A 12,769-nucleotide genomic window follows, 5' to 3' on the forward strand; every position below is an offset into this window, starting at 1 on the left:
GCATGGGAACCTGCGATTCAGTCGTCCCCGGGGACCTCCCAGCGCACACCGCTAGCCTGGGGCTTTCACCTCGATCCGCCCGGCCTGGGCGGCTCGTGTCCTCCCACACCGCCACCCGTGCCCGCTTCCCGGGGTGCGCCCGGAGCCTGGCCGCTCTCCCTGCAGGTGACCAGTACTCGTTTGGAGTTCAAGATTCCCGCCGCTCCACTTGAACTCCACCCTCCCCTCTTATTATTATTATTATTTTAACTTCCCTCCGGTTAAGCTAAATTGATCTTAATCTTTCATCTCGGACGTCCCTCTAAGGGGAGTGAGCGAAGATTCCGATTGCAAGTCGCCGCTGTCGCTTGTGCCCGTCAGCCCCTCGCCCAAAGGAGACGCCCCCGGGCGGGGCGGGGCGGAGCGGGGCGGGGCGGAAGGGCCCGGGTCTGCTGCGGACGGGGCGGGGCGGAGCCTCCTCCTGCACGGGGGAGCCCCCGGGCTCGCCCCAGCTCAGACACTCCTAGCCTTGGGGCAGCTGCCGGGCGAGTCAGCGGAGTAGCGGCCAGCGGGCGATGGAGACAGAGAGACACCCGACGAGAGGAGGCGGGGTGGGGGAGGCGGGGAGAGTGCGGGGGCGGAGGCTGGCAGGGGGCGCTGGAAGCTGGAGCGGTCCGTGCGCTCCCCGCGCCCGAGGGTGCAGGAGGCTCTGAAGCGGCTGCTGCACCGCGGGGCCCAGGCGGCGGCTGGGGGGCTGGGGGGCGCTGCCGCCGCCGCCGCCGGGGGCGTCGCTGGCCTCGGCCCCTTTGTTCTCGCGCGCTCCCCCTCGCCGCCCACTCCCCTGCTGTCGCGCGGCGGCGGCGGTGGCGGCGGCGGCTCCTCCCGCCCGAGGCAGTCGGGCTCGGCGCCGGGGGCGGGAGGGGGCGGGGGGAGCACGCCAGCCGCCGAGAGTGGGGGGCGATGGCGAAGCTCCGGGTGGCTTACGAGTACACGGAAGCCGAGGACAAGAGCATCCGGCTCGGCTTGTTTCTCATCATCTCCGGCGTCGTGTCGCTCTTCATCTTCGGCTTCTGCTGGCTGAGTCCCGCGCTGCAGGATCTGCAAGCCACGGAGGCCAATTGCACGGTGCTGTCGGTGCAGCAGATCGGCGAGGTGTTCGAGTGCACCTTCACCTGTGGCGCCGACTGCAGGGGCACCTCGCAGTACCCCTGCGTCCAGGTCTACGTGAACAACTCTGAGTCCAACTCTAGGGCGCTGCTGCACAGCGACGAGCACCAGCTCCTGACCAACCCCAAGGTAAGAACGCCCCGCGCACCCAGGGGCTCCCCGCGAGGGAGGTTTGGAGGCAGCGTCGGTGTTAGACTCCGCGCGGGGAGGGTTCGGCGTGTGCTCGCATTGCTAGGAGGAGACCAGGTGGCGCAGGCTGTGCTCAAACCAGGAATGACTACATCAGGGAGCCCCAGGGCTCCGGTCTTTTCAGGTGGGTTTACGCGCGGCGACCAGTGGTGCCCAGAGGCTTACTTTAAAACCTGTCTTGCCTGGTCTCAGATTTTGAGGCCTCGACCCAGTCCGGGTCCTGCGCCTACCGGACTGGGTTTGGAGAAGTGCAAGGAGCCAAGAAAGTTAACTTTTCCTCCATTTAAAGCCAGTGGTTAGCGGGGATCCACCTACTCCAGCTCACGGTCAAGGTCCGAGCTTCAGCTGGTCTCATCTAGAACTCAGATGGAATGACCTTCCTTGAAAGGTCGAGGGGACTCTCGAAAGTTGTGAGAGAGTTCCTCACCTTTTCGCTCTACATAGGCATTTTCAACTTGGGGTTCAAAGATAAGCTTTTGTGGCTTGACAAACGACCCGGAATCAAATGTGGAATATTGCGGGTCCATTTTGGGAAGTACAGAGGGCTCCTAGTTTTCATGAAATAGATTCTCAAAAGAGTCTACAGGGAGCCTAGTTACCCTTTGTGTTTAGGGACAGTCAGGAGTCGTCTGGAGAACAGTAAAACTTGCTGAAAATAGAAAACCTTCAGTGAAATGTACCTAATATGACTTCTCTGACAACTTCTATTGGTCTCGAAAGCAAGCAAGAAGAAAAAGAAAAAGAAAAAAAAAAAAGATAAAACCTGGTTAGGACTCCCGGGATGGAGAGCAGAGAGAGGAAGTCTCAGAAAACTGTTCCCAATGGAGAAAAATAACTTATAAAAAGCAGTGTCCTTAGCCTGTGAACTAATTGAGCTTTGTAGTGCACCTGGTTCTGGTTCCGTTTCTACTTCCCTTGATCTTTTCTGCTCTCCTTGTTGCTTAACTATCAAAGGTATGTATCTTTTTAAAAGTTACTGACATTTTTCCTTTTTTTGAGGGATCAAGCAGAAAAACAGTCCAAAAGGGAATGCATCTTGTGTTCACAGGAAAACTTTCTGTTAACTCTAACAAGATATATTTATATTAATCCAAAAGAAAAAAATTCTACATTAATATTATAATAGTATTTAAAACAGCTTACCGTCACTCTGCAATAAAACTTGTGGTCTTACCTCCTGAACAGTAAATTCTTGAATTTGAGACATTTAGAAAATATTTCTTTTTAAAAATATGAATGACTCCTCTCAAAAAAAAAATGCTCCTGTCGACAAATGAATATTGATTTACCTTAAAAAATATCAATAATACATAAGCAGTAAATATAGGACTAAGAATATAGAATTTGGAGTATAATGTTAAAGATCTTGAAGAGGTGATAACGTCTCAAAGACAAATGTTGTAACTTGATCCTCTTAATGCTCAGGAATTTAAAAAGAAATCTCAGGGTTTTAGAAACATTTTTTTTTTTAGAATTAAATCAATAATGTCAAAGATGAGTGCCAACCAGTAGTAATGATTTAGAAATTATATGGCAGTTCATCATTTAGAAGTTGTTATAGTTGGTGAAACGTTGCTAATTATTTTAAGATAGTGGTTCAAGCACTAATAAATTTCATATCTATATATACATATATATGCACACACACATTAATAAATGGCTAATATCTAATCAAGACAAGGACAAATTATAATTTATTACAAAAAGACTGCTTCACAATTTTCAGGCAGTTTGAAGTATCTGGCAGAAAAAGTAAATTGAAATCATTGGGACGTTGATTTTTAAATTACCTAGAAGCAATCCCAATGCTTTATGTAATACTAAAATTTCTCCTCTCTCTTTTCTTTATCTCTCTCTCCCCTGAAAATAATCATTTTTTTTCCAGTGCCAGTTCAGATCTTGGCAACAGTTGTTTTGAAAAAGTACCTGAACAAAATACATTTTATAAAGTAAAGTATTCAGGAACTGACAGAACTGGAGAAGAATATATTTATGTTACAGAAGTCATGGACAACATCCTATTCATTTTAGTCAAGGTTTTCTCAGCCAAACCAATTTATATCTCTTTATCCAGATTATAATTATGTTGTATCATTTATAGACTGTAAGTTTGTTCTTTAGCATCACCTTTCTATTTTTGACCAATAAATTCTCAATTTGGAAATTCTTATAGGCAGTGTGATGGAAAAATTCAATGTAATAAAAATATTATGCCAGAGTCATGTACATAAGCAGAGTGTTTCCACAGTGTCCCTGCAATTAGGCAATACCCATTGTCCATTCCTGTTGGCTCTTGGCTGCCTAGATCTTTTCTTTGCCTTACTTTACCTCTTTATTGAAGGCCTATGCTTCCCCTCTGTTTCTTTGTAGAATGTCTAGATTCCCAACAGTGTCTTGAATCCCAGCCGCCTCCAGGCTTTTCTTCATGACCCACCAACACAAGAAACCACTTAGGAAATCACTTCTTAGAAAAAATAGAATAAGGAGTTTTTTCCTCTCCCTTGAGTTTCCTGCATTAATTACAGTAAGAGGCAGGAGAGGGAAAGAATACATTGCAAATACAGAATTTCTTAAGCCATAAGCTGCTGAAGAAGATACTGTGAGTAAATTTGATCTTTGACTAATAATTTCTTTAAAATACCTTGAGTTCCTACTGAATTTATTTGTATTTTGAATCATATCCTTATTGTCTAAAGCAATCACTATATCCAGTCTTGTAATAGAGTATTCAAGGCAACAAATTGTCCACAGGGAGATTATCTCTGTGGATTAACCATAGCAAAATCTAAATTCGGGGTCAACTTCCTCTTGCTACTATTCCAGTCACTGCACTATCTCTTGGTGACTCACAGTTGTATATGCTAGGAGCTTTGGTTCTCACCTATGGCTGTACCTTAGAATCACCAGGGGAACTTTAAAAAGAAGTTCTTATGGCTGGGTCCAACTCTCCAAGATTCTGATTTGGTCTTGGGTGGGGCCTGGGCATTGATGTTTTTTAAAAGTTCTGTGATGATTCTAATGTGAAGACAAGATTCAAAAACCACTGTCTTAGAAAATGTTCTCATCTGCTGTGCAAGAAAAACAACCTGAGAACCAAAAAGGAGTCATTGTGATTAATATTTGTGTTTTCAGATTAAAAGATATTGTTGGTGCTACTGAATTTTTTGTTTTTTTTTGTTTTTTTGTTTTTTTTTTGAGACAGAGTCTCGCTCTGTCGCCCAGGCTGGAGTGCATTGGCATGATCTCGGCTCACTGCAAGCTCCGCCTCCCTGGTTCATGCCATTCTCCTGCCTCAGCCTCCCGAGTAGCTGGGACTACAGGCGCCCACCACCACGCCTGGCTAATTTTTTCTATTTTTAGTGAGATGAGGTTTCACCATGTTAGCCAGGATGGTCTCGATCTCCTGACCTCGTGATCCACCCCTGCCTTGGCCTCCCAAAGGGCTGGGATTACAGGCATGAGCCACCGCGCCCGGCCAGTGCTACTGAATTTAGGGAGTCGGTATAAAAGGAAATTCTGAAGGAAAGGGAGAGTATTATTTAAAATTATTATGTAAATAATAGTTTAAAACCAATAAGTTTAAATGAAATGAACTTGATTCCAGACATTTGCATTTGCATAATTATATACATTGGATGGCCAAAAAAAAAAAAAGGTGAGTTTTTAAAACTGCCCTCTTGTATGTGAGACAAGACAGAGTGAGTGATTAGAGATAATATGGTTATTTCATTTATTTATTTATTTATTTTTGAGTCTCATTCTGTTGTCCAGGCTGGAGTGCAGTGGCATGATCTCAGCTCACTGCAACTTCCGCCTCCTGGGTTCAAGCAATTCCCCTGCATCAGCCACCCAAGTAGCTGGGCTTACGGGCATGTGCTACCACACCCAGCTAATTTTTGTATATTTAGTAGAGACAGGGTTTCACTATGTTGGCCAGGCGGGTCTCCAACTCCTGGCCTCAAGTGATCCCCCTGCCTCAGCCTCCCAAAGTGCTGGGATTACAGGCGTGAGCCAACACGCCCGGTCTATATGTTTATTTTTATTTTGAGTTTTTTTTTCCCCTTCCTCTAATAATAAAAACCTAGAAACAAAGGATAAAAGGCTCCTTCTAAGAAACCAGTACTCTAGAAGTGAGAGAAATGCATTAAGGAGAAGAAAAACTTAGGTGGGACTGAATAAGGCTTCAGGCATTACGTTTGCTGAAGTTGGATGTACCTAACTACAGGGCGTGGTGGCTCACAGTCACCTAGGCCCTCTCCACATCCACTCATGTACCCTGTCCCAGTGCACTGTAGGAGAGGCAGTGTGGCCTGCCTGGAATTGTTTCTGAACTCCTTCCTGGAACATTCAGTTTGATACATTTTGCGCTCTAGAGACATCCATCATATCAGAACTACATGATAAAAGGCTAAGCAGAATTGTGATGACTTCTTTGTAACCTTTATTTATCTTGAAAAAGTGGCATTTCTTGGTTGTTTTTCCTTTGGAGATGATGTTATATAATGTTTGGTATATACATAAAATTCAATCAGGAAATCCTTTTTCAGCATCTATTATAATGATCAAAGAACTGGGCAAGAAACTAGAGGGCATACAAAGATGAATATGTTCACTTAACAAATATTCATGAAACACGTATCCTGAGCTATGTGTGCATTCAGGTGCTGAGACTAGAATATAGGTCAAAACAAAGTTCCTGCACTCATGGAACTTATATTCTGCTGGGAAGTAACAGACAAGAAATAAATGTATAATGCCATGTCATGTAATGATAGGTGGATAAAGAAAATTTGGGCAGGATAAGAGTATAGACAGTGACAAAATACGTGAAGGGCTCTTCTTTTGGACAGGGTGGTCAGGGAAGGCCGCTCTGATGAAGTGACATTTACACAGAGACCCAAAGAACATGAGGGGATGAGCAGAGACAGAAGGGATGTAAGTAATGAATCATGTGGCTATCTGGAGACAAGAGTGTCCACCAGCTGAGGAAATAGCACATGCAAAGGCCCTGTGACAAGTGTCTGTGTGAGGAACTATGAGGGCGAAAGTGAGGTTGGACCACAGTGAGCAAGGTGGACAGTGGGAAATGAGGTTAGGGTCCTAAAGAACACGATACGGACTTTGGATTTTATTCCAAGCATGATGGGAATCTGTGACATTAAGCGGGGCTGAAATATCATCAGACTTAGACTTTTAAAAAATGCAAATGATCCCTCTCGCTGCTGAGTTGAAAACAGAATTTATATGTATGTTTACATGCACATGCACACATTCTGACTTGTGCAGTGAGAGGTGCAGAGGCAAGACTTGAAACAGGAAGTCCTGTAGGACAGGCAAAAGATGGTGGTGGCTTAGATCAGTGGGTAGCACTGGTAAAATTTACTAATGAATTGGATATGAGGAATGAGGGAAAGAGGAGTTGAGAATGGCTCCAAAGTTTGTGTCAAGTGCAACTGGGTGAACGGAGGTGCTTTTAGTGATGGGAAAAACTAAAGGAATAGTAGGTCTGGAGGAGTGTGGATGAAAATCAAGGGTTCAGTTTTGCATATGCCTAACAGACATTAAATATGAGGATGAATCCATGAGCCTCTGTCCTCAAGGAAATTATTACCTAGCAGAGGAGATAAGGACACAAATAACTGTCAAACAAGGCAGAATGTCAAGTTCTACAGAGAGGTACAAACATTATGATATGAACATCCAGAGGGAAAAAGTTAGGGGGAAAGCTTCATGGAGAAAGAAGCATTTGCTATAAGTCCGAGGATGAACAGAGTTTCATCTTGGTGGTGAGTAAAGGGAGGCAGGGTGGAATGAAGAGAACATCAAAGAAGATAAAATGCAAGAAACAAAGCTATGAGCTGTGTGAGTGTGGGGTGTGTTGGGGGATCTGGATGGACTGGTGTGTGTGGAACACAGGGCACATAGAATGAGGTCTTGGGGGTAAGGCTGGAGAGTAAATTCGAGCCCACAGTGTAGAAGACCCAGGCAGCCAGGATGGGTTTGCTAGATACTGGGAAGCCATGGTAGGAGGAATAATGTCTCCCTTCCACGATGTCCACATCCTAACCCTCAAAAACTGTAAGTGTCTTATGTCACATAGCAAAGAGAAATTAGAGTTAAAGAGGGAGTTAAGGTTGTTAAACAGTTGATGTTAAAATAAGGAGATTATCCTGAGTTATCCAGACAATCCCAATGGAATCACAAGGTACTTAAAAGTAGAAGACAGAGGCAGGTCAGAGTGATAGAGTTTGAGAAAGATCCAACCAGCCATTGCTAGCTTTGAATACAGAAGAGGGCCATGCGCCAAAAAAAGCATGTAGACTCCTTCTCCAAGGAAGTGGTAAAAGGCAAGAAAATGAATTTTCCGCTAGGCATTCAGAAGAGAACGCAGCCTGGCATCTTGGTTTTAGCCCAGTGAGACACATTCTAGATTCTGACCTCCAGAATTGTAAGATAATAAATTTGTGCCATTTTAAGCCACTAAGTTTGTGTTACAGCAGCAATAGGAAACTAATACAGAAGTCAAGGACGGTTTTTGAGTAGGTGACTTATGATTAGATATTTAAAGGCGTGGTCAGAATATCTCTTTAGAAACAATCTAATTTGGGCTGGGTGTGGTGGCTCTTACCTATAATCCCAGCTACTTGGGAGGCTGAGGCCTGTACCACGTAGTAAGATCCCATCTCTTAAAAAAATATCAAGGAAATTGGCTGGTCATTGTGGTGCACACCTGTAGTCCCAGCTACTCTGGAGGCTGAGGAGGGAGGATTACTTGAGCCTAAGAGTACAAGACTGCAGTGAGCTAAATTTAAGTATGTGCTTTAGGACTTTAGCTTGGGTGACAGAGCAAGACTCCATTTCTAAAACAAAAGCAATCTAATCTGCAGGATGCTATGATCTATCTGTCTGAGATTATCGTAATGTATCTCCAGCCCCCATTTGTGGATGTCATTTATGAAGATCTCAATTATATCTGTAAGGTCCCCAAAACTTATGCATAAAAAAGAATCAGAAACTAAAAATCAAAAGAGATTTGTGACATTACAATACATATCAGTTATAATTTGCTTACAAAATACATTTATTTGATCACAAACTTGCCTCGTTATATAGCTTTTTATAAGTTGACACATTTTGTTTATTTAAAATGTTTTGGGCACTTATTTATGAATGAAGATGTCAAGTTTTATTTCCTTTGGGTTTAAATTTTTTTTCAGTCCTTAGCAGAATTTCAATTCAGTTTAGTTCCTAGATCAGCAGTACATTTATATTACAATTACCATAATTACTCACAGTAAAATACTGAACAGAATAGTTTTTAACATTGCATATGTTTCCAACCATTCCTCATGCTGAGCCTTAGGTATTCTCTACAACACATAAATTAATGTGTAAAAAATTGTACTTGTGAGTTGTAATATCCTCTTCTATTCTTTTAAAATAACCAATATAATACTTGTAAATCATTGTGTTTATTAAGTTATTTAATTCTGTGGCCATTTTTATAAATAAACTAGGATACATTTATTTTAAGTAAGTGCTTTCTTGAGTACTGTAATCCAACAGATTAGGTTACTAGATGGTCTCTTTATACTGAAGCACATGTGAAAAAATATCTAGACTTGCTTTGTCTTCATGTAATTGATGTAGTTGATCAAATGGACTTTGAAACCTCATCTAATGTCCAGTTTACTGGTTTTAATCTAACTATATTGCAGCAGCATATATTGATATTATATTTCACTGGAGAAAACTAAATCCTAGAAAGTAAAAATTTAGTCCATTTTGTTCTTTGTAATAAATATATTTATGATTGTCTTTATCCAAACAGTTTTATTTTAAAATAGACCTAAAGAAGGGAAAACCAGACAATAATACTCTATAGTGAGTGCTAAATTTGTAATTCTTATTTTAATTACCTTTTGTTTTCTCTGTTTCAAGGATAAAAATGGCAACAAAATTCATCACTATTTCTCCCAAACCCACTTTTATTCTGGAGTTTTTTGTTTCTGTTAATTGTATCATCATTCTCTGGTATTAATATTTTTTATAAATTTCACTGCCACTCTCTTGTTTAGTGCTGTCTTTTGCTTTGATTACCATATCTGTTCATTGAGTTTATGGCTAGTCTATTTCTTCCTCCAAACCGGTGGTTTTCAAAGTATGGTCAGTGGACGGGCAGCATCAGAATTATCTGTGAACTTGTTAGAGATGCACATTCTGGCTGAGCGTGGTGGCTCACACCTGTAATACCAATACTCTGGGAGGTTGAGGCAGGAGGATTGCTTGAGGCCAGGAGTTCAAGACCAGCCTGGGCAACATAGCCAAGACCACATCTCTACAAAAATTAAAAAAAAAAAAAATTAGCCAGACATGATGACATACACTGGTAGTCCTAGCTACTCAGGAGGCTAAGGCTCCTTGCTTGAGCTGAGGAGGTCAAGGCTGCAGTAAGTTGTGATCATACCACTGTAATCCAGCCTAGGGAACAGAGCAAGACCCCATCTCTAAAAAGAAAAGAAATGCACATTCTCAGGTCCCATCCTCGACCCAATAAATCAAAAGCTCTACCTGAGTTTCAGATTTAGTAGTTCCGTGTTGGGGTTCAACAATGTGTAGGGGTCCTATACGTATTAGCTCTCACTCCTTATTCCTCCAACTTGGTCATGGTATATAATTCTTTTTATAGATTCCTGGATTTTGTTTGCTAATATTTTATTGAGGATTTTTGCATTTATATTTATACAGGATATATGTCTGTCCTTTTCTTGTGATGTCTTTGTCTGATTTTGGTATCATAGTAATAGAATGAGCTGGGAAGTGTTCCCCCTTCTGTTTTTTTGGAAGAGTTTGTGATTATATACCATGATGAAGTGGGATTTATTCCAGGAATGCAAGTTTGGTTCAACGTGCTAAAACCAATCAATGTAATAGATTACTAGCATAAAGAACAAGAAAAGCATAATTATCTCAGTATATGGAGAAAAAAACATTGACAAAATTTAACAATCCTTTCATGATAAAAAAAAAAAAAACCAACAAATTAGGAATAGAAGGGAACTTCTCAACCTGAAAAAGGACACCTATGAAAAAGCCTCAGCTAATATCATACTTAATGATGAAACATTGAAAGCTTTACCCCTAAGATCAAGAAGAAGACGAGGATGTCCACTCTTACCACTCTTGTTCAACATTGTAGTGGCAGTTCTAGCCAGGGGCAGTTAAGCAAGAAAAAGAAATAAAAGGCAACCAGATTGGAAAGGAAAAATAAAACTATTTTCAGAAATCACATGATCTTATATATAGTAACTCCTAAAGAACCTCCCCTAAAATTTATTAGAGCTAATAAATGAATTCAGCAAAGTTGCAGGATACAATATCAATATACAAAAATTAATTATATTTTTATACACTAGGAATGAACAATCCTAAAATGAAATTAAGAACACAATTCTGGCTGGGCATGATGTCTCACGCCTGTAATCCCAGCACTTTGGGAGGCCAAAGCAGGAGGACCGCTTAGCCCGGGAGTTTAAGACCAGCCTAGGCAACATGGTGAAACCCCACCTCTACAAAAATTAAAAAAAAACAAAACGCCAGATGTCATGGCACGTGCCTGTAGTCCCAGCAACTTGGGAGGCTGAAGTGGGAGGATCACTTGATCCTGGGAGATTAAGGCTGCAGTGAGCTGTGATCATGCCACTGCACTCCAGCCTGGGCAACAGAGTGAGACCTTGTCTCAAAAAAAAAAAAAGAAAAAAGAATGTAATTTTATAATAACATAAAAATAAAATGTCTTGGAATAAATTTTATAAATTTAACAAAAGTACAAGACCTATAACCTGAAGACTACAAAGCACTGCTGAGAAAAATTACAGAAGACTTAGATAAATGGAAAGACATCCTTTGTTCCTGGATAGGAAGACCCAATATTGTTAAGATGGCAGTATTCCTCAGGTTGATCTACAGATTCATTACAGTCTCTAGCAAAACCCCAGCTGGATTAGTTATTTTTTTCTTTTTGCATAAATTGACGAGCTGATTCTAAAATTCACACGGAAATGCAAGAGAACCATAATAAACAAAACCATCTTGAAAAAAGAGAACAAAATGGAAAGATTCACATTTCCTGAGATACACTGGAAATATTGCAGATTTGGTTCCAGACCACTTCAACAAAGCCAATATTACGATAAAAGAGTCACACAAATTTTTTAGTTTCCCAGTACATATAAAAATTACATTTATACTATATTAATGTGCAGTACCATTATGTCTTAAAAATGTACATACCTTAATTTAAAAATATTTTATTACTGAAAAATGCTAGTAATGATCTGAGCATTTAGAAAGTCATAATCATTTTGCGGGTGGAGGATCATGCCTCGATGTTGATGGTTGCTGACTAATCAGGGTGGTGGTTGCTGAAGGTTGAGGTGGCTGTGGAAATTACTTAAGCTAAGACAACGAAGTTTCCTGCATCAATTGACTCTTCCACAAAATGTTTCTCTGTTGCATGTGATGCTATTTAATAGCATTTTACTTACAGTAGAACTCCTTTCAAAATTGGAGTCAGTCCTCTCAAATCCCTCCACTGCTTTATCAACTCAGTTTAGGTAATATCTAGGTTAATTGTTGTCATTTGTCATTTCAACAGTGTTCACAGCATTTTCACCAGAAGTGGAGTCCATCTCAAGAAACCACTTTCTTTGCTCATCCAAATGAGGATTTGCAAATCCTCACTTGTTCAAATTTTATCATGGGATTCCAGAAATTCAAGCTATACTTCTAATTCTAGTAGAATCTCTTCAAGCTCTACTTCTTTTTTTTTTTTTTTGAGATGGAGTCTTGCCCTGTTGCCCAGGCTGGAGTGCAGTGGTGTAATCTCGTCTCACTGCAGCCTCCACCTCGCGAGTTCAAGTGACTCTCCTGCGTCAGCCTCCTGAGTAGCTGAGATTACAGGCATGCACCACCACACCCAGCTAATTTTTTTTTCTGTATTGGTAGTAGAGACAGGGTTTCATCATGTTGGTCAGGCTGGTCTCAAACTCCTGACCTCAAATGATCTGCCTGCCTTGGCCTCCCAAAGTGCTAAGATTACAAGCATGAGCCACCGCGCCCGGCCTTCAAGCTCTACTTCTAATTCTAGTTCTTTCCTATTTCTACCACATCTGTAGTTACTTTCTCCATTGATGTCTTGAACACCACAAGTCATCCATGAGGGTTGGAATCAACTTCTTCCAAACTCCTATAATGTTATTTTAACCTCCGTTCATGATTTACTAATGTTCATAATGGCATCAAATTGTTGAATCCCTTCCAGAAAGTTTTTCATTTACTTTGCCCAGATCCATCAGAGGAATCACTATAGCTACAGCTTTATGAAGTGTATTTTTTATTTTTTATTTTATTTATTTACTTTTTGAGATGGAGT

At 41.5% G+C, this 12,769-nt stretch overlaps 1 protein-coding gene across 3 annotated transcripts in view, besides 2 other annotated features; it reads left to right on the plus strand.

Moving 5' to 3' along the window:
* Positions 311-550: a silencer, noted in NCBI's record as "silent region_4656". NCBI's record gives its function as "represses an Ori minimal core promoter by ATAC-STARR-seq in GM12878 lymphoblastoid cells {active_cell/tissue: GM12878}" and the evidence as "EXISTENCE:reporter gene assay evidence [ECO:0000049][PMID:35858748]".
* Positions 495-12,769, plus strand: part of KCNMB4 (potassium calcium-activated channel subfamily M regulatory beta subunit 4) — a 68,003-nt gene continuing 55,728 nt past the window's right edge. For all 3 annotated transcript variants that reach the window (NM_014505.6, XM_047428701.1, XM_011538188.3), the window contains exon 1: positions 495-1,275. In NM_014505.6, coding sequence (NP_055320.4) covers positions 940-1,275 — 336 coding nt within the window. In that variant the 5' untranslated portion in view covers positions 495-939. The remainder of the gene's footprint in view (positions 1,276-12,769) is intronic.
* Positions 4,050-4,250: a silencer, noted in NCBI's record as "peak1805 fragment used in MPRA reporter construct". NCBI's record gives its function as "represses an SCP1 promoter by STARR-seq MPRAs in K562 erythroleukemia cells {active_cell/tissue: K562}" and the evidence as "EXISTENCE:reporter gene assay evidence [ECO:0000049][PMID:32103011]".

Source organism: Homo sapiens, chromosome 12, assembly GCF_000001405.40.
Source record: "Homo sapiens chromosome 12, GRCh38.p14 Primary Assembly".
NCBI classification, from domain to species: Eukaryota; Metazoa; Chordata; class Mammalia; order Primates; family Hominidae; genus Homo; species Homo sapiens.